This window comes from Homo sapiens, chromosome 17 (genome assembly GCF_000001405.40).
Source record: "Homo sapiens chromosome 17, GRCh38.p14 Primary Assembly".
Classification (NCBI taxonomy): domain Eukaryota; kingdom Metazoa; phylum Chordata; class Mammalia; order Primates; family Hominidae; genus Homo; species Homo sapiens.
In genome coordinates this window covers 31,398,818-31,419,242 of record NC_000017.11, presented here as the reverse complement: position 1 = coordinate 31,419,242, position 20,425 = coordinate 31,398,818, and the positions used below count along the sequence as shown (strand labels likewise).

At 52.3% G+C, this 20,425-nt stretch overlaps 1 protein-coding gene and 1 long non-coding RNA gene across 2 annotated transcripts in view, besides 5 other annotated features; one reads left to right on the top strand and one right to left on the bottom strand.

Moving 5' to 3' along the window:
- The window catches only part of RAB11FIP4 (RAB11 family interacting protein 4), a 146,537-nt gene that overhangs the window by 118,969 nt on the left and 7,143 nt on the right, over window positions 1-20,425 (bottom strand). The gene's annotated exons all lie outside the window — the stretch shown is intronic.
- Window positions 1,775-2,614: an enhancer, noted in NCBI's record as "H3K4me1 hESC enhancer chr17:29743647-29744486 (GRCh37/hg19 assembly coordinates)". NCBI's record gives its function as "activates a minimal SCP1, AML or CMV promoter by ChIP-STARR-seq in naive and primed H9 embryonic stem cells {active_cell/tissue: H9 hESC(naive and primed)}" and the evidence as "EXISTENCE:reporter gene assay evidence [ECO:0000049][PMID:30033119]".
- Window positions 2,615-3,455: an enhancer, noted in NCBI's record as "H3K4me1 hESC enhancer chr17:29742806-29743646 (GRCh37/hg19 assembly coordinates)". NCBI's record gives its function as "activates a minimal SCP1, AML or CMV promoter by ChIP-STARR-seq in primed H9 embryonic stem cells {active_cell/tissue: H9 hESC(primed)}" and the evidence as "EXISTENCE:reporter gene assay evidence [ECO:0000049][PMID:30033119]".
- Window positions 3,931-4,894: an enhancer, noted in NCBI's record as "H3K4me1 hESC enhancer chr17:29741367-29742330 (GRCh37/hg19 assembly coordinates)". NCBI's record gives its function as "activates a minimal SCP1, AML or CMV promoter by ChIP-STARR-seq in naive H9 embryonic stem cells {active_cell/tissue: H9 hESC(naive)}" and the evidence as "EXISTENCE:reporter gene assay evidence [ECO:0000049][PMID:30033119]".
- Window positions 4,143-4,986, top strand: LOC124903977 (uncharacterized). Its single transcript, XR_007065706.1, has 2 exons — window positions 4,143-4,380; window positions 4,862-4,986. It is a non-coding gene; the product is annotated as an uncharacterized LOC124903977 (long non-coding RNA).
- Window positions 6,825-7,790: an enhancer, noted in NCBI's record as "H3K4me1 hESC enhancer chr17:29738471-29739436 (GRCh37/hg19 assembly coordinates)". NCBI's record gives its function as "activates a minimal SCP1, AML or CMV promoter by ChIP-STARR-seq in naive H9 embryonic stem cells {active_cell/tissue: H9 hESC(naive)}" and the evidence as "EXISTENCE:reporter gene assay evidence [ECO:0000049][PMID:30033119]".
- Window positions 18,521-19,022: an enhancer, noted in NCBI's record as "H3K4me1 hESC enhancer chr17:29727239-29727740 (GRCh37/hg19 assembly coordinates)". NCBI's record gives its function as "activates a minimal SCP1, AML or CMV promoter by ChIP-STARR-seq in primed H9 embryonic stem cells {active_cell/tissue: H9 hESC(primed)}" and the evidence as "EXISTENCE:reporter gene assay evidence [ECO:0000049][PMID:30033119]".

The window sequence follows — 20,425 nt, the reverse complement described above, 5'->3', positions numbered from 1 at the left end:
CCTTCCTTATCTTAGAGAAATGAAAACTTACATTCACACACACCCACACAAAACTGCACAAAAATGTCCACAGCAGCATTACACATAATCACCCAAACCTAGAAACATCCCCAGTGTCTCTCAACAAGTGAATGGATAAGCAAGTGTTCCCTAACCAAAAAGAACAAATGATTATGCTACGGGAAAGAAACCACTCCCAAAGGTTACAAACTGTATGATTCCATTTACGTGCAAAAGGCAAAACCATAGTGACAAAGCCAGATCAGTGGGTGCCAAGAGCGAGGAGGAGGGACTGAAGACAAAGGAGCAGCCGGAGAGAATTTGGGGGATGAGCCGTTCTGTCCCTGATGGCAGTGGGAGTCACAGGAGTCTATGTAAATAGTGACACTTCTTCCCCCACCCCCAAAAAGCGAATTTTACTGTATGTAAAGTAAAAACAATTTTTTAAAATTTTTCTTTAAAAATCAAGGGAACTGGCTGGGCACGGTAGCTCACAGCTGTAACCCCAGCACTTTGGGAGTGGGTCAAGGCAGGAGGATCGCTTGAGCTCAGGAGTTCCAGACCAGCCTGGGCAACATGGCAAAACCCTGTCTCTGCAAAAAATGAACAAAATTAGCCAGGTGTGGTGGTGCACGCCTGTAGTCCCAGCTACTTCGGAGGCTGAGGCGGGAGAATCACCTGAGCCCGGGAAGTCAAGGCTGCAGTGAACTGTGATTGTGCCACTGCACTCCAGCCTGAGTGACACAGTGAGACCCTGTCTCAAAAAAAAAAAAAAAAAATCAAGGGAACTGCACATACAAAGTTGGATATCTGACTTTAAATTTTTATTTTTATTTATTTTATTTTATTTTTTTGAGACGAAGTCTCACTCTTGTCTCCCAGGCTGGAATGCAATGGTGCGATCTCGGCTCACTGCAACCTCCGCCTCCCGGGTTCAAGCGATTTTGCTGCCTCAGCCTCCTGAGTAGCTGGGATTACAGGTGCCTGCCACCACACCCAGCTAATTTTTGTATTTTTAGTAGAGACGAGGTTTCACCATGTTGGCCAGGCTGGTCTCGAACTCCTGACCTCAGGTGATCCGCCCGCCTTGTCCTCCCAAAGTGCTGGGATTACAGGCATGAGCCACTACGCCTAGCCTATTTTTATTTTTGTTATAGACAGGGTCTCACTGTCACCCAGGCTGGAGTGCAGTGGCATGATCATAGCTCACAGCAGCCTCGACCTCCCAGGTTGAAGGGATCCTCCCAACTCAGCCTCCCAAGTAGCTGGGAGTACAGGCATACACCACTACACCTGGCTAATTTTTTGTAGAGATGGGGTCTCATTATGTTGCCCAGGTTGGTCTTGAACTCCTGGCCTCAAGTGATCCTCCTGCCTTGACTTCCCAAAGTGTTGGGATTACAGGCATAGCCCCCATGCCCAGCCCCTGGCTTTTCTTGAAAAATCAGATCTGGCAATACAGGTCCCATATTCCCCCACAGCAACAATGAGCGACAGCTGAATTCAAGCACACTCTTTAGAAAGGGAATGTATTCTGCTCCCCAGCTGTCTATGGGAACCCCCAAATCTCAAGTAGTTCCCCACCGCAGCCCCACCTAGGCTGCATTCCTTCCTGGCCCCCATGGGCATCGGAGTGGCAATTCCTGCTACCCCAGGCACTAACCTGGGCTTGGCTGGGCACCTGACATCGTCTATATCCACAAAAGGGGTTTCAGGGCTTGGCTTGGAGTAGGGTGAAGTTGAAACTCCCCAGCATTTTTATGCTGTTTTAGCAGCCACAATAGAAGACAGATGGGAAAAGAGGGGAAAGGACAGTGCCTGTGGGGTGAGAGGGGCCTACAAAGACAGTGGCAGGTCTGGGCACCTGGAGACTCCCTGCAGCAGGCCGGGAAGTGCCTTTTGAACCCACGTGGAGCCTAGATTTCCCTGGCAGTGCTTCTGGGGAAGGGACCCTCTGGAGGAGGTGAGGCAGGTGCTGGGGCCAGATCCTTGCTCAGGGGTGGCCACTCTGGAGGCCTTACAGTCAGGAGACACCTGTGAGGACACTGGGGTACCGGAGGCATCGTAAATCCCAGGACCAGTTGCAGGGTTTCCTGCTAGGAGCTGGCCAGGTGAGGGGGACAGTGGGGAAGGACGTGAAGGGCAGCAAGAGGGAACAGGAGAGGGAGAGGGGGCAATGCTGGCAAACGCAGGGGGTCTGGGGTGGATGGAAGGAATATGGGGAGGGGGCGTCATCAAGAGATGGGGCCAAAGAGAGAGGGAACAGGCCTGAAAGAGAAGGGCTTACGAGCCAGGCAAAGGGCCTGTATGTGCTTTATCCTGAATATGGGCGATAGGAAGCACAGGGGCAAGTGCTGACAGCGGCAGAGCTGGCTGGTGTCAGGCAGCCTTCGAAGCACTCAAGTGCATCACTCCCAGCAGCCCTGTGAAGTAGCCAAACCGCCAGTCATTCCCCTCTTACAGCAGTGGACCCTGTTGCTGTGCTGGCCTCACCGCACAGCAGGCAGGGTTGGAATCCAACTGCCCCTAGCTCTGTCCCTCTTCAGACTGGCCCCTTCTCCTGCTGCTGCAGGGGCTCTGGCCCTCTCCTGGGGCTTCAGGCGAGATGCTCCAGCTGCTTGTTTATCCTCACTCCCAGCAGTCCAGCTGCCTGACATCAGGGCACACAATAGGACCCTGTATTCTGGAGCCGCCACCCCCAGGCCGGCCGGTGGGACAAAGGGCACAGGCCGCCACTGGCCCTCTCCATTAATTCTGAGGCCAGGATGGGAAGGGAGCCAGGCAAGAACTTCAGCAACACCGGCCTGAGACAAGGGATGAGGGAGGCATTTCCAAAGTGGGTCCTTCCAGTTCCTGCACCCTGAGCCCAGGCCAAAACATCCCACTGTCTTGCTCCCACTCCCTAAGCCCGCTCCCCTCCATGTGAAGGGCTGTCCCACGGAATCAGTCAGACTTACCCTGGGTAGGCCACTGGTAGAGGGGGTATGTGGTTGTGGAAAGCATCCTGGAGGAGTCAGGAGCCCCGGGCCCAGGACCAGCTCCGCAATTAGTGGCGCCCAGGGCAAAGGGGAACATTACCACGAATTTCAAGAAGGCAACCCCAGAGCACTAATCCCTGAGTGACTGCACAGGTCGCATGCCGAGAGAGCGGGCTCTGCCTGGGCTTCGATAAGGTACCACTGCGTGACCTCGGGCAAGCCCTGTTGCCTCTCTGGGCCTCAGTTTCTGTATCTATAATGCACTTCCGACCAGCTCACAGGACCGCTGTGACGATCAGATCAGACTATGAGTCAAGGACATCAGAGGCTGCAGAGTGCCATGGATGTGCCAGGTGCAAAGATGCATAAAGGGGGCCTGAGGGTGAGCCTTCCCCCGGGAAGGGACAGGCAGAGGGGCCACCAGCCAGCTGGGAGGCTGCGGAGACCGTCCGCAGGGGGGCTGAGGTGAGAAAGTAGGGTGGTCCCTGAGACCCTCTGAGAATCTCAGGGATGCTGTGCTTCCTGGGCCCTCCATCCAGTCCCAGCTCCACCACAGACTGCTTTACTGAGTGGTCTCGCTGAGCTCCTTCCCCTCTCTCGGCCTCAGTTTCCCCATCTGGACAATGACAGCACTGGATAACATTAATATTGAATGTCTCTTCCAGCTCTGAAGTCTCTATGATCGTAATGCTTTCAGGCATGTTTGGGGTGGGCATGGGGATTGGGGGGAGGAAGAGAAGAAAACCAGAGTGGAGAAGCAGACGGGGTCAGAGGACTGGGAGAAAAATGCCTCCATTTACTGGAGCTTCACCACGGAACAAGTAAATGGCTTGGGGACCTTGGAGTGGGTGTGGCCCTGGGGAATTACTCAACCTCTCTTCCGAGCCTTTTACTTCCCCTCTTCTATAAAGTCAAGAAATAATGACAAGAACGGAGGCAGATTCGTCAGTCACCACTATCCTGCCCCTCCCCTCCTCTTTGTCCACGTAGAGCGCCCCCTGGGCCTGAGGTGCCCACCTCCTGTCTGACCAGGTGCCTGGGGCCACTCAACCTGGAGCATGAGTTCTGACTGGACCAAGCCAGTTCCGGGGGGCTCTTCCCCCTTGCCAGTGATTGGTTCAGGCAAAGGCATGTTCTACATCTCTGGCCAATAAGCCATGAGAAGACATCTGCAGGGGGCTCTGGGAGAGGCTGTCTCTGGAGGGTGGGGCCCATGAACAGGAAGCTGTCCCCTCCCTGCTTCCCCTGCTGGAGAAGGGATGCCCTCTTGGGTCAACGCTGGGAAGCTCAATGGAAGGGGATTGGGTCCTAGCTGGTGCCTCTGAGCCCCTGAGGAACCAGCCCTGGAGCTGCCCTACCTTGGACCCTTGTGTTATAAGGAAGAATACACTTGCCTCAGCATGTAAGTTATTTTGCATTGCTTCCTGGTTCTCACAGCTGGAGGGCCCCTGCCCAATGAAGGACCCCGCCTCAGGGACCCACTGGGATAAAAGGTGGTGATGGGAGGGGAGGTGGAGAGGGCCTGTGCGGCTTTGGAGTGCCTCTGGCCAGGGTGGCTAGACATCCAGAGGGCTGGCCAGCACCATGGCCCAGTGACATGGTACCCAGGCCACCGCCTCCTGGGAAGCGCTGTCCCAGCCGCCACAGCTGGAGACATCTTCCTTTATGGGACCGCCAACACCTCCATCCATCTGAGTGTCATCAGGTGGCCCCTCATTCACAGCCTGAGTCTGGGCTGACAGAATCCCTCCGGCCACCCACAAGGGCTTTGTTTGGGGTCTGAATAGGAGCGAAAGTGACAGAAGCCTGGGTGGTCTCTGAAGTGGACTGGCCTCTGCAGGCATCCGCCCATCTGTCCGTTCCTTTTGCAAATGTTTCCACAGCTCTTCAGCCAGACTGACTGGCCTGTGGGGAGACAGAGAGGCTCCCAGGAAGCTCCCAGGGAAGGAACAGATGTCCTGGAGTTATTTTTGAGTGAAATAAAAATAGCCTCGGGAATAGCATAAAAGTGTGTAGGTGACTGTTAATACTGCCACACGCCCAGAGGCAGGGTAGCGTGGCTCCCAGCCTCTGGAGGCAGACATTGCTGAGCTGGAATCCCACCTCCTCCATTTCCCAGCTGTGTGACCAGTGGTGGATGACTCAACCTCCCTGAGCAACATCATTGCCTCATCATGTGTTAGGACTGAGAGGGGATGGCATATCAAGACAGCCTGGCAGCTGACACAGAGCAGGCTCGGGATAAATGAGGCTTTCATAGGCAGAGCATGCCTGGACGCTGGTCAGGAAGCTGCGGACACCCGTGAACCTCATGAGCTGGGACAGCCAGTCGTTGCACCTCTTCTTCCAGCAATTTTTAACTGGCTGAATTTAAAATATGAACTGGATCATTTTTAAACTTCGGGGAAAAAAACTCAATGAAACTCTTATGACTCTTTTGAAAAACTGCTGATAGCACTGTAGGGGAAGATAAGACAGAATCCATCACAATGTAACCCCCTCGAAGGTGTTACCCCAAATCCTTGCAGTTTTGGGGCCCAGAGGAGACAGACAGCCCAGAGGGCTTGGGAGATGTGGAAGGGCCTTGGAGGAGGAGGGGGTTATGCTGGACTGCAGGTGGAAGAACTGACACAGCAGGTGTGGGGAATGGGAATTCAAGAAGCGGGGCGTTGGTGTGAGCAAAAGGGAGGGAGGAGGGAGAGGGTAGCCAAGGCCAGGCCGTAGAGGTGCTCGAAGGGTCTGAGGAACCACCAGCTGTTCTCAGTGGCTGGAGGGCAGGGGGAGGCTAAATATGGGGGCGGGGGAAGAGGGAAGACACTCTCTTCTCGGGGGGCCTATGGAAGGACAGCTCCCTCCGTGCCCTCCGTGTGAGGCCCTCTGTTGACATCTCTGGCTCTCAGCATAGTTTGAAAGGCGCTGCTCGCTGTGGGCTTTGGTTGGCTTTAGACCCATTATTTAAGGTTACATGGGAATGTCTGCTCATCAAAGGGGGGTGCTGGCCTGCAGGAGTTGGGCCACTCTGAGCTGTGGTCCCTGGACCCTGCCTCCTCTAACCCATCTATCCCGCCCCATCCGAAACATGCCGAGCTCCCCAGCTCTGACACTTCAACTAGACTCAAACTGAAAAGCTCCCGCCAGTCCTCCCTCCATTCCCCAGAAAATGAGTTAACCAGGACACCTCATGGCCTTTCAGTAAATTGAGGTTTAGCTACAGAAACAAAGCAAAATACAGTGGCTCCAGGCAGAAATTCCACTGTTGCTGTCAGTACAACACAAGATGGCAAGTGAGAAGGGCGACTTGTTCTGGGAATCCCATAATGGAATTTCAAACGTACCATGAGGCCCTGGCAGACCCCGACCTCTCTGAGCCTCAGTTTTTTTGCCTGTGAAATGGGGCAGGTACTGCTCCTCACCTCACTGCCCACTGGTCAATCTCTCCACCACGGAAACCCCACTTGGATCCCAGGGGAGGTGCAGCCTGTAGCCCTGGCAGAGGACCTGAAACCTATCTGCGCCTGGTGTCTGCCTGCTCCCTGGGACTCACTGGTGTTCACGTACATTTCCTGGGCCAGGTCTAGCCAGGGGCTGGGGACAAGAGGAGCTCCCAGGCTCTGTGGGCAGCAGAGATTAAGGTGGCCCCGCCCCTTCCTATCCGTGGTCCCTGTGATGGGACAGGGCAGGATGGGGATTAAGGTTCCAGTTTCACTGATGAAGCAAGTGGGACCCAGAGAGGTTGAGTCCTTCACCCAAGATCACCAGGATGGCATTTCTTAGAGAGTGTCAATGTGTTACATGTAGAAAGGTTTCTGAAATCCGTAAGTTTGAGACAGGTTAGGCTGGAGTCAGCATTTTTACCCGGAGGCTTTCCTGGACTAAAGTGAAGGGGGAGCGGGCTCCATTTCCACATTGCTTGACCAACTGCTGGATCAGAATACCCTTTCCTCCCTCTGTTTGCTGGACACGGGTGGGACCCCTGCTCTGGGGATCTAGAGCTTTTCTCCCTTGCACAGGACATTAAATGGGCCATTTCCATGGCAAAACCGGCATCTGTGTGAGAGGAGGGTGGTGGTGTGCGCAGTCACCCCTAGAGGATGAACTGTCTAGGTTCACTTGCTCCACACCCCTGCCTGCAGCTCGTGGGTTCAGCTGCCAGCACTGATGCACTCACTTGGGGAGGAGAAATTCTGGTGGGTCCTCCCAGGACCAAGCTGCTCCCCAGGTGATTGAACTCAGCATCCCCAAACAGAACAAGTGAACCTCACACGGCCCCTCATGAGATGCTCGGTCCTACCCAGCCTGGCTGCGGCCCTCCCAGAGCCCCGACTGAGGCAAGGACGATGGCCAGAGGGGCTGTCTATGTCTCAGGCTTTCTAGCCCTCGCTTCCTCTCTGCTGCAACTGCACCTTCTCCTCGGAAGGACGCCCTGCAGTCTGAGTAGCTGTCCTCATGGGAGGCACCCCCAGGCAGCTCAGCAAATTCCTCAGGGCCCGTATGGCAGGGCCAAGGGCCACAGGGGAGGTCTTGAGTCTACTCATTTTGTAGACGCTCTTTGCAGAGGCAAAGTTCTTTTCCAGCAAGCACGGCAGGAGGCAAGAGGCCTCATCCATGATTGAGGCCCTTATTTATAATTTAAACCTCTTTCCCAAAAGAAAGTAGCTCAGAGGCCTGGGGTGGAGGACCAGTGTAACAGAGTCCTGGGTATCAGAAAGGACTCAGGCGTGTGGCACCTACACACCCTTCCCCTGGTTTATCCTCATGCGAGCCCTTGGAGGGAAGTTACTGGCCTCACTTAATAAACCAGAAAACCAAAGCTCCAGAGAGTCAGGGACTTAGCTGGGATCTCTGGGCTAGAAGAGAGGAAAGCGAGGTTGTTTTGTTTGTTTGTTTGTTTGTTTGTTTTTGAGATGGAATCGCACTCTGTCGCCCAGGCTGGAGTGAAGTGGTGCGATCTTGGCTCACTGCAACCTCTGCCTCCCAGGTTCACGCTATTCTCCTGCCTCAGCCTCCAGAGTAGCTGGGACTACAGGCGCCCGCCATCACGCCTGGCTAATTTTTTTGTATTTTTAGTAGAGACGGGGTTTCACCATGTTAGCCAGGATGGTCTCGATCTGTTGACCTTGGAATCCACCCGCCTCGGCCTCCCAAAGCGCTGGGATTACAGGCGTGAGCCACCGCGCCCGGCCTGGAAAGTGAGGTTTGAGCCTGGCATTCTGATCCAGGGCCTACGCATCCTCCATTAAACCGTGTGCCATCCAGGGTGGAAAGATGGGAGGGATTCTCATCCTGTCATCTCAACACAGATCTGCAGAGCCTGTTCACCAGGGTGGGACCCTGGAAGCTGCATTTTCCAGGGCCTCCCCTGGAGATTCTGATGATGAGACCCTGAGAGGGGAATCCAGATTGGGCGGCTGGTGGACCTCACCCAGCAGGGAGTGGCAGGAGCTGGTCTTCAACCAGGGCCCTGGTCTTGGAGCTGGCACATGCCCTCTGAGGCTGGCAGAAAGGTGGTTAGGTGGTGGCAGTGGGAATATTCCCAGCAGCAACAGTGGAAACAGAAGGGCTGTGCCATCACCCCTTCCCAGGCAGACTCAGCCCACAGCAGTCCCAGCCCCTCCAAGGGTGTGACACCATGCCCCCGCCCCCTTCAGCCCCCTCGGTGCAGTGCTGGGACTACAGGTGCGCACCACCATGCCTGGCCAATTTCTGTATTTTTAGTAGAGACAGGGTTTCACCATGTTGGCCAGGATGGTCTCCAACTCCTAGCCTCAAGTGATCCGCCCACCTCAGCCTCCCAAAGTGCTGGGATTACAGACGTGAGCCACCACACCCAGCCCAACTTGCACTATTTTCTACTATGCAATACCACCTTTTCAATTTACCCCTGTATCTGCAGCCGCAGGTGCAGGTATGTTTCTCCTTCATCATCATCATCATCCTCATCATCCTGGGACCACGTGGTGGCAGCAGCAAGCGCACAATCCCAGTGACTTATGGACTTGGATACTTATCCCTATCCCCACAAGAGCCCCAAATAATCTATAACCAGCGCAGAACTTCCTCTTCTAAATATCCCCAAAGACACAGAGTGCACCCTAATAACTCCTCTCGGTAAAGGGCTTAGGATGCACAAGGGCTGTGCTAAGTGCTTCACCCTCCTTCTTTCATTAGCATCATGAGAACCCTCTCAGGGGAACAGTATCGCATCCCAATTTCGCAGGTGAGGCACCAGGAAGTACAGAGGCCCATCCCAGGTCATAGAGCCGGCAAGCTGGAAATCTGGGAGTTGACCTCTGACCCGTTCAGACACTGAGTCCTTGATCACAAAGCCCTCCTGCCTCCCAAACCATCTAGCAGCCTCAAGAAGCAGAGAGGAACTTGCTTCCAAATCACAAGATTTTGGGGGCAGGGCTCAGGAGGAGCTGGGGCTCCTGGGTTCCGGGCTGGTCCCCTTGCACTCTATTTGTTTACTCACCCAGTCGGTTAAGTAACACTGTGCCCCTGTTACACACTATAAACCCAGTACTGTGTACCAGTACAACACCCTGTGTTGGAGGCAGAGGGCTGCAGAAACCCAGCATCTGTCCTCATGCCAGGAGAATCACAGAAATAAATGCTCCTCCCTGCTCCTTGAGTGCAGGGTGGGAACCAAGAGAGCTTGGGCTAAAAGGCTAAGTTTTCCTACACATCTGGAGTTTCTTTCTACCCAACGTTGCAATGCCCCTCACCTGGTAAGTGCACCCTGATTTTCCTCTGGGGAGCTGCTCCTCCCCATTCTCTGTGATTTGGGTGGACTGCCGCTGAGGATGGGCACCTGACCAGGCCTGGCCAAGTGGAGACTCATCCATTCCAAGCATAATTCTTTACATCAACTGGGAAAATAGCAAGCATCGTTGAAACATTTAATAGATGCTGGGAAGACATTTGATACAATTTACCATCTGGTCTTGAATAAGACTCTAACAAAAGGAGAACGGAGCGGAGAGGGGGTGGTCTTTATTAATATGCAAAAGAATATTGACCTAAACCTAAGTACTGACAAGGTACTTAATGGTAGGAAGCTACTGTCTCTCCACTGTAAAAAATTATAAGGAAAGGATGATGGGGTCCTGCCTCCACCATCCCTTACCAACCCTTATCCCTACTGGCTCCACCACCATCCAAGACCACACACGGGCCAGGGAACAGCCTCAGCCCAGCTAGCTGCATCTGGCTGCCCGGATCAACTCTGCGGCCGTCTGTGTGCATGTTTCATCTGGTCCATCATCCCTGCTCTGCTGCCTGGGACTTGGTTTTTCTGCCATGAGGCTGGAGTCCTCCCCTGAACCATAGCAGGAGGCCTGATGGCCTCTTGCTGGCCCCCTTCCCTCTCTATTAGGCCACCTCTTGTGCCAACACCAGCCTCGACCTCTTCAGGATTCACCACTTCCTTTGGGACCCTGTCTGTTAAGACCACTGCCCCTGCCCCAGCTGTTCTCCTTGACTCACAGCTGGGCCTGTGGCCAATGTTCCAGCACATGTCAGTTGGGGCGATGTCTCCTGTGCCCACCCCGCTTAGCTCTAGAAATGCTGGCGGCTCCCATCTCAGAAGAAAAAGTAATTGAACTCAAAAGAAGACACAAAACAATGACTTTTGAACTGGATGGCATGGCTTACCTAGGAAATGCAAAGTCATCAACCAGAAAACTACTAGAAATGATAAATGAATTCATACCAGTGGTGAGATTAGAGAAAACATTTACAAAAAATCAATTATATTCCTATATGCTAGTGACATGCAGCTAGGAAAAAAATCAATGGAAAAAAAGTACTTAATTCTCAGCAGTAATAAAACACATTAAATATTAAACATTTATTTAGTCCAATTGTAAAACACCTATTTTTAATGTTAATATTTTGCTCCTATTGGGAGGACTAAATATAGTATGTAAAGATGGCAGCACTCTCTAATCTAATAGACTGAATGCAATACCCGTTACAGACCCTGAAAAATGTGTTACATTCTTCAAAATCCATAAATAATGAAGACTATCAGAAGGATTTTTAAAAGGTAATAATGATTGGCTTGTTTCAATTAAAAATACATTATTCCAAGTCATAATGCTCAAAATGTTATAATGTTGCATTAAAAACAAAACAAAAAACTGTTGAGCATTAAAAAGAATGAAGGTAACAAGGTATGACAGGCTGGGGAGGTAAGGAGCCACAAGTTCATAGTGATACTCAGAAAAGGGGGGTGGAAGGAAAGAATTTTTTTTTTTAACAGAACAATGCTCTATCTGTGGAAAGAATGAGAGAATTAGAAAAAAATCACCATTTGGCAACCACCAGTGTAATTTACTCAGGCAAGGGGCATCAGTGGATGCTAAAACTATTATGTAAACCAAATGTTTACACTGTCCCAAGGTATGGTCCCACAGATTACCTATTAATTATAAGGGGAAAAGTACCATTATGTTGAATAGATGAGGTAGACACCACCTTAATCAAGTGATTGAACTCAGCATCCCCAAAATAGAACAAATGAACATCATGTGGCCCCTCATGAGATGCTCTGAGGACACACCACCACCTGTCCCTGCCAAAAACGCTTACTGTGTATCTAACCTCGAGGAAACAGACACATCCAGGTGATGGGACAGTCTATAGGACAACTGGCCTGGACTCCTCAGAAACATCAATGTTATGACAACTAGGGAAATCTGATTATGAGCTGAATCTTAGATGACATCGCTGAATTAATGTGAAATCCCTGGGTGATCATGGCACTGCATTTGGGCAGGAAACTGTCAAGTATTTATGGGAGAAAGGTCAAGATGTCTTTCATCTACTGAAAATGGTTCAAGCAAAACAAAACAACAGAAATGGAGTTAGATGATAGATGGATAGATAAGACAGACAGATAAGAGGTAGGGTGAAAGCCAGCCACGATGGCTCATGCCTGTAATCCCAGCACTTTGGGAGGCTGAGGCAGGAGGATTGCTTGATCCCAGGAGTTCAAGACAAGCTTGAGTAACATAGTGAGACCCCCATTTCTACAAAAAATAAAAATAAATTAGCAGGACGTGGTGGCACACACCTGTTAGTCCCAGCTATTCAAGAGGCTGAGGATCGCTTGAGCCCAGGAAGTTGAGGCTGCAGTGAGCCAAGATCACACCACTGTACTCCAGTCTGGGTGACTGAGCGAAGCCTTGTCTCAAAAAAAAAAAAAAAAAAAAAAAAAAAAATCAAGTGAAACAAAAAAACAAATGTGTCAAAACACTAAACAGTTGGTGAGTTAACTGGGGGTTATAAACAAAATGGCTTATTTATTCTTGTTAGAGATGGAAAATAAGTGTCTAACTACTAAAGAAGTGATAGATATAATCAGAAACAAAGCAGATGTGATATAATTGAAAGAAAACATATTCACACACAGGAAAACTTTTGAGCAATAAGATATGATTAACAGAGAGAAAGAGGAAAGCAACAGAGCAAGAAAAAATGGCATGACAAACAGTGCTGAAATATATAGAACTGACTTTAAAATAAAGGGCAAAACAAAAATTCCCCTTGATAAATGCTGAAAAAAGATCGATAGGACAGTTTATGCAGAAAGAAATACCAAGAGTAAATAGCAACATGGAAAAAATGCAAAGTCTCATGAGCAATTAAAAATGCAAGTGTAAACAAGATGTGAAATACCATTACACACCTATCAAACTGGCAGAAACAAATACATTAAAATAATAGTGCTGATGGGGTCGTGCAGAAACAGCACCCTCGTGCCTGGAGCAAGGCTTGCTTTGAGGCAGGGGAGACAGAAGGAGGAGACACGACCATTTTTAGAAAAGGTGACCAGAAGCCCAAAGCCAGTGCCTCTGGCCAGACAAATGAGCAGACAGGCCCTGGATTCCACCCACACAGTGTCTAGGACGTGCCTCCTGGGGGTCAGGGGTTGTGAGATGCCCACACCAGAGGCCACTCCTCTGGCTGGCAGCTGAGCGCCTGCGCTGGGAGCAGAGCCCAAGGGACAGTCAGTGGTACTGAGGGAGGTGCAGCTCAGCTCAGGGTACCCAGGACTCCTCCTCCAGGCTTTCTGCAGTGAGCCTGGCTCCAGACAACCCCCCTTCCGCCCTCTGGAGGGCATCATCTGGGGAGCAAAGTATCCCTGGGCCCCACCCTGCTTGCACCAGAGCAGGAGCTGAGCCCAGGGGTTGACCAGCTGGCCCAGGTGCCCTGCCAGGTGGGCTGGGCTCAGTGAGCTGGGCTGGGCAGAGCAGAGTGTCTGCACTATTAGTGCAGACACTAATAGTGACTGGTGTGAGGGCCAGTCGGTGCCTGGGATGAGGCAGGGGTGGGAGAGGGAGGAGACACCACCATCTCTAGAACAGATTCAGGCACAGTAAACACCTCGAGGTGAAAAAGGGTCACGATAGCTCACACCAGGCAATCATAACCAGATGTGGGTTTTAAGGTACAGAAATTCAATTCAGTGCTAGTTAGCTTTCTTTTTCCTACTATAAAAGTAAAACTAAGTATAAAGAAAACTAAGAAAAACTAAGTATAAAGTAATTTAAATTTCTATATCAAGAACAATATTTGATAATTTTTTTGCTTTTAAAATAAAGAGCAGGCTGGGTGCGGTAGCACTTTGGGAGGCCTAGGAGGGCGGATCGCCTGAGGTCAGGAGTTCCAGACCAGCCTTGCCAACACAGTGAAACCCCGTCTCTACTAAAAATACAAAAAATTAGCTGGGTGTGGCAGCGCAAATGCCTGTAGTCCCAGCTACTTGGGAGGCAGAGGCAGGAGAATCGCTTGAACCAGGGAGGTGGAGGCTGCAGTGAGCCGAGATCACGCCACTGCACTCCAGCCTGGGCGACAGAGCGAGACTCCGTCTCAAAAAAAAAAAAAGATCAGCTGCCCTTCAAATGATTCCTGAGAGCAAGGGCAGGCCCTGAGGCTGCGTGAGCTTGGCAGGCCTATGAGTGCCACCTGCGCTGGGCTCAGGGCTCCAGCACCCAGTCATGGAGGTGGGAATCATGGAGGACCCATGTGAACGCCTCCAGACCGCCTGGGAGCCTCCCTCTGACCCTCCCCTTCTCTCCATCCTCAGGGTCCCCTCTCCTTGCCCCTGAACTGGGACAGAAGCCTCCCACCTCAGCCCCTTCTCCCCAACCCACGCTACTTCTAGGTGGGTTTGTCTAAAGGCAATAGAGCTGTGTGGCCCTCTGCTTAAACCTCTTCAACATTTTATCCCGAAACCTTTGGGATAAAATCAAGCCCTGCCACCTCCTGCCTCCAGCCTGCCTGGTCAGCCCCTCCACCCCTGCAGGTGGGCCTCTGCACAGGTAGGTCTCACCTTTGGCATACCTGTCCTTCCCTCCACCCTGGCAGACCCTGTTCCAAACTCAGCCCCGCCATCCATTTCTGAAGTCCCACTCCAGAAAGGCTTTCTCATCTCCCAGGCAGAGTGACTCTCCTATCTTCATGCCTCAGCCACACCTGCACAAGCCCGCACCCTTCCCGCAGGTCTGGTTTCCATGTCAGTCCCCCGCCCCCACCGCAGGGAAGGAATCCTATCTTACTCATCTGTATACCCTCTGGCCCCAAACATGACACAGAATCTGACCTCAAAAAATCTGTAAAAGAGTGGATCAGACAGCTGACTCAGAAAACCTAGAGGTGGTGGTAACGGTCATTTTAACAAACATATGTGACACTATGTCACGTGTCGTTTTGAGGGTTTAACATGCATTGCTAATATTATCCCCACTATACAGATGAGGAGACTGAGGCATAAAGAGGTTAAGTAACTTCTCAGAGTCACGCAGCAAGTAAGTTGCAGAGCTGGGTCTCAAACCAGATGTGTCTGACACTAGGGCCCAGCTCCCAGTCACTTCCCCAGGGCAGGGAGAGAACCTGAGAGATGGCCTGGCCTGATCTGAGGTGCAGTAGAAAAGTGGAAGTGGGGACGGGGCGGAGAGCAGGATGGGGCCAAGGCCGGCTGGGGCTGCAGGGCCTCTGACTGGGGAGGATCTGCAGTGCAGGCCGAGGAGGATGCAGGAACAGGAGTGTGTGGTCCACGGGCTGGCGGGGCGGCCAACTGGAGACAAAGAAGACTCAGCCCCACACAGCCTGGGCCTGCAGAGGATTACCTATGAGTGCCTGGCAGGAAATCGGAGCAGTCAGAGAAATGCGCACCTCCTGGGGCCATGGAATCACCATTTGAACAGGAAGTGGCGCAGATGCATAATTCTGGGCACAGTTCGCTGGCAGCCTCCCTCCCTGCCCAGTGCTGGGATGCAGTGCCCATGAGAGGGCCCCTGGCCGCCCATCCTGCAGAGCCCAGACCTACTTCTGATCTGCGCATTTCCCAACCGAGACCACCCCAGGCTCAAAGTCCCCAGCCAGAGGAAGTCTCAAATTTCAGATTTCTCCAATGTTAGATTTCTGGAACTCAGATCAGGTCACTCTCTCCCTCCTCTGACCTTCTAAGAACATGAGACCCCCACAGCAGGAAGCTAAAAAGGCAGCTTTAGAACCTGACAGACCTGGGTTCTAATCCCAGCTCCACCAGTTACTCAAGACCCTGGACAAGTCACTTCACCTCATGGAGGCTCCTGGTTGCCGTGATGACGAAAGGGATTAAGAAATACAAAGGCAGGGCCGGGCGCGGTGGCTCATGCCTGTAACCCCAGGACTTTGGGAGGCCAAGATGGGTGGATCACAAGGTCAGGAGATCGAGATCATCCTGGCCAACATGGTGAAACCCCGTTTCTACTAAAAATACAAAAAATTAGCTGGGTGTGGTGGTGCACTCCTGTAGTCCCAGCTACTTGGGAGGCTGAGGCAGGAGAATTGCTGGAACCTGGGAGGCAGAGGTTGCAGTGAGCCGAGATTGCGCCACTGCACTCCAGCCTGGGTGACAGAGCGAGACTCCATCTCAAAAAAAAAAAAGAAAGAAAGAAAGAAATACAAAGGCAGCCAGCAAGTTTTGGTGGGTCCTGGAGTCCTTGGGTCTCCATATCCTCTCTGTCCATGGAAAATCACCAGTGGCTGCAGAAGACTTTGGTCATTGCACAAGGGAGCCCCATGCCTGGGGTGTACTGGGCAGAGAAAGGGGTCAGAGGTGCAGTCCTAGGACTGAGGGCAGCGCAGTACCCATGTGGGTCATGGCTGGGCGGGGGGGCGGGGCGGTGAAGAAATGATGCAATAGCCACCATGCTCAGTCATACTCATATATCTCTATATATTCAATCTCCAACCATCACAACAGTGCCACAAATAGGGGTATGACCTCTATTTTACAGATAAGGAAACTGAGGTCCACCTATCATAATAAGCACCTTTAAAAATAATCTGGCCAGGCGCGGTGGCTCACGCCTGTAATCCCAGCACTTTGGGAGGCCAAGGCGGGTGGATCACAAGGTCAGGAGATCGAGACCATCCTGGCTAACACGGTGAAACCCCGTCTCTACTAAAAATACAAAAAAAAAATTAGCCAGGAGTGATGGTGGGCGCCTGTAGTCCCAGCTACTTGGGAGGCTGAGGCAGGAGAATGGCGTGAACCTGGGAGGCAGAGCTTGCAGTGAGTCAAGATTGCGCCACTGCACGCCAGCCTGGGCGACAAAGCAAGACTCTGTCTCAAAAATAAATAAATAAATAAATAAATAAATAAATAAATAAAAATAAATAAAATAATCTGAGCCTTCACATTTTTCAGCAAGGTCCCAGCTCTTGCCAGACCCAATGGCCTGTGTGGGAAGTGAGAAATCATAAAAAAGAGTTGATTCCATAGAGGGCAGGAATCACTGCACTGAGGTGTTGCTGCTCATCCAAAACTCATCTGAGCTACTCAGACCCTCCCAGCTCCTGAGCCCTCCCGAAAGTCACCATCTGGTCCCTGTTCCAGCCTGAGTTCTCAGTCTCCCTGCCCTCCCTGTCCTTTCACCACATGGAGACACTTGTCACTCCCTGAAAATACCAGTCCCCATCCCTGGGTCTGTGCTTAGGACTTTTGCATGACTGATACTCAGGAAGTGGTAGATGGTGGGTGGATGGATGGATGGATGGATGGATGGATGGATGGATGGATGCATGGACAGATGGGGAGGCTACGGAAGTGGGCAGAAGGGTGGATAAACAGATGGGTGGACTAAGGGGTGCGTGGCTAATGAATGGATGGGTGGATGGACTGTTGGATGGGCGGTTCACTGGACGGATGGATCAGGAGGTACATGGTTGGGTATATATGGATGGAAGGGATGATGGATGGGTAGATGGATGGGTAAGTGGATGCTTAGGTGAACCGGCAGGCAGATGGTTGGATGAATGGGTGGAGGAAGTGTGAGCAGATGGAACTCTAGGAGATAGATTTCAGCTCGTTATATGAACAAGAACTCAGCCAGAGCCCTGCCAGGTGAGAATGGGCTTGCCTTGGGAGGCAGCGCGTCCCTGTCTCTTGGCTACTGAGTGATGCAGGCACTGAATGGGAGTCTCATTGAATGACCTCTACTCCCCTTCTGGTTTTTGTTTTGGTTCAAATCAATCCTCTGTCTATCCTGTCCAGGTGCTAGCCTTAGACTGGGATCTTCCTGGGGACAGTGCCCACTGCAGGCCCATGTGTCATCAGCAAACACTTTGGAGGAAGCTGGCAATCTTCTCCGGGTTTTGCGCCTGTAAGCCCTGAGCCACAGCAACTGCAGTGTGTGTTGGACTCAAGGCCTTGGTCTCCAGGGAAGCCAGAGGTCCTTACAGCTGGAATCTGGGCTACAGCTGTATGGAGCCTGCTCCCCGTCTTGGGTCATGGGTTGTTATAGAAACCTATAAGGATTCTGGGCTGCTCTGCTCATCCTGCCCTCAAGGGCACAGAAGCTATGGACAATGGGTCCTCAGCAGTGACCTCAGGGGTGACAGGTTGCAGGGAATTGGTGACCCTAAGCTATGGCCCCTGGGGGAGTCTCCAAGAATCTGAAGATGCTGGGGCAAGCCTGGCATTTTTTTTTTTTTTTAATTAGACAGAGTCTCGCTGTGTCGCCCAGGCTGGAGTGCAGTGGCGTGATCTTGGCTCACTGCAAGCTCCACCTCCCGGGTTCATGCCATTCTCCCACCTCAGCCTCCCGAGTAACTGGGACTACAGTCGCCCACCACCATGCCCAGCTAATTTTGTTTTTGTATCTTTAGTAGAGACGGGGTTTCACCGTGTTAGCCAGGATGGGCTGGGTCTCCTGACCTCGTGATCTGCCTGCCTTGGCCTCCCAGAGTGCTGGGATTACAGGCATGAGCCACCGCTCCCGGCCAAGCCTCACTTTTAAAGGGGGCCAGACCACACCTAGGTCAGCTTCTGTAAACTCCTTTGTTGTGGGCAATGAGATGAGACCCCAGGGCCAGGGTAGAAGGAAAGGGAGAAAGAGCCCAGGATGTGCCAGGCGGTGGGGGCTGAAGCGTGGTCCCCAGACCTGTCCATCGCCACTGGCTCCACAGCTGCACTCAGGTCTCACAGGCCAACGTGGAGCTCCCGAGTCCTCACCCAGCCCTCTTCCTCTCTGCCTCCCCACCCAGCAACGGCAGCTTGTCTCCAAAGTCTCCTCTTGCTCACTCCCACTGCCAATCGGCTCCATTTTCAAGATCCAGCCACTGCTCCACGGCTTCTCCTCTGCTCCTGGCCCCCAGCGCCCATCACCTGGGTGAAGAACTAGCCTTGGTGCTGGTCTCCCTGCCTCTCCCCGGCCCCTTCTGCCTCTCCGAGGAGCCACACAGCAGCCAGGGTGGTCCCCATTAAACCTAAGTCTGATCCTGTATCTCCTCCGCTCAGAACCCTTTGGGGGCTTCCATCTCATTCCAAGAAAGCCAAAGCCCCTGCAGGGAAGGCCACAGGAACTGGCCCCACCCTTGTCTTCGGGCTCACTGTGCCTCTAAGCCCCTGGGCAGGCTCCTGCCTCTGCCTGGACCACGTTTCCAAGACATATGCAAGGTGCAGCCCCCATTTCATTCTGGGCTCCACCTCAATAGCCATCTATGACATTGTTCTAAGTACACTGGCTTTTGTTTCGGCACTAATGTTTCTTTCTGCCACTTACCCGCACCTGACAGTTGTTTCTATTCCTTTGCCTCTTTTCTGCGACCCCTATCAGAATGCGAGCCCAGGTCCCTGTTGTTTCCTATTTCCCAGTGCCCAGGGCAGGGTTGGCACACAGTAGGTACCCAAGATGTTAATGGAATAAAATGGCTTTTTTTTTTTTTTGAGATGGAATCTCACTCTGTCGCCTAGGCTGGAGTGCAGTGGCGCAATCTCGGCTCACTGCAACCTCCTCCTCCTGGGTTTAAGCGATTCTCCTGCCTCAGCCTCCCGAGTAGCTGAGATAACAGGCGTGCATCATCACGCCCGGCTAATTCTTGTATTTTTAATAGAGACAAGTTTCACCATGTTGGCCAGGGTGGTCTTGAACTCCTGACCTCAGGTGATCCGCCTGCCTCAGCCTCCCAAAGTGCTAGGATTACAGGCTTGAGCCACTGCGCTGGGCCTAGGAATAAAAATTTTTTATTTGTATTTATGTATTTATTTTTATTTTTTGAGACTGAGTCTCGCTCTGTCATCCAGGCTGGAGTGCAGTGGTGCAATCTCAGCTCACTGCAACCTCCGCCTCCCGGGTTTAAGCAATTCTCCTATCTCAGCCTCCCAAGTAGCTGGGACTACAGGCGCATGCCACCACGCCCGGCTAATTTTTGTATTTTTAGTAGAGACAGGGTTTCACCATGTTGGCCAGGCTGGTCTCGAACTCCTGACCTCAAGCAATCTGCCCGCCTCGGCCTCCCAAAGTGCTGGGATGACAGGGTTGAGCCACCACACCTGGCCTAGAATAAAAAATTTTTAAATCTGGACCCGTGTTAAGGGTAAATGTAAGGGATACTTCCATAAAATCAACTCTATAAAAATTTCAGCGCATTTACCCAATAACTTGGGGCTAGGAGGACAGCAGTGACTTGGGCAAGCCATATGCCATTTCCAGGCCAGCGGGCATTTCCCCTCCATCCCGCCCAGGTTGGTGTGACTCAGCTCTAAGAGTCTATCTCAGCCAGCTGTCAGGTTCCCCTTCTGCACTGTTCCTGGTGGCACTGCTCAGGGCTGGGGTGGGGATGACTGCTCAGTGGGCCAAAGGGGTGCTGCAACAGGAAGGGAAGGAGCCCTCCGCCCTACACTCCAGGGCTGAGGCAGAACCCCTCCTCCATGTGGACCTGTGAACACCCCTATTCCTGCCGGCCGAAGGTTGCCCAGGCCGGGGCACCATTGTCCAGGAGCCTGCTGCCCACCCTAGCAATGCACTGCCCTCCAAGGCAGTGTTGCCCAGTGCCGAACTTCTCAGGCAGTGGAGGCCCTGCTGAAGGAAAAAGGGGTGGCTTTGTAGCCATCGCCCCCGTTCCCAGGTTCCTGGGCTCCCTACTCCCCGCCCACCAGCCCAGGCAGCACA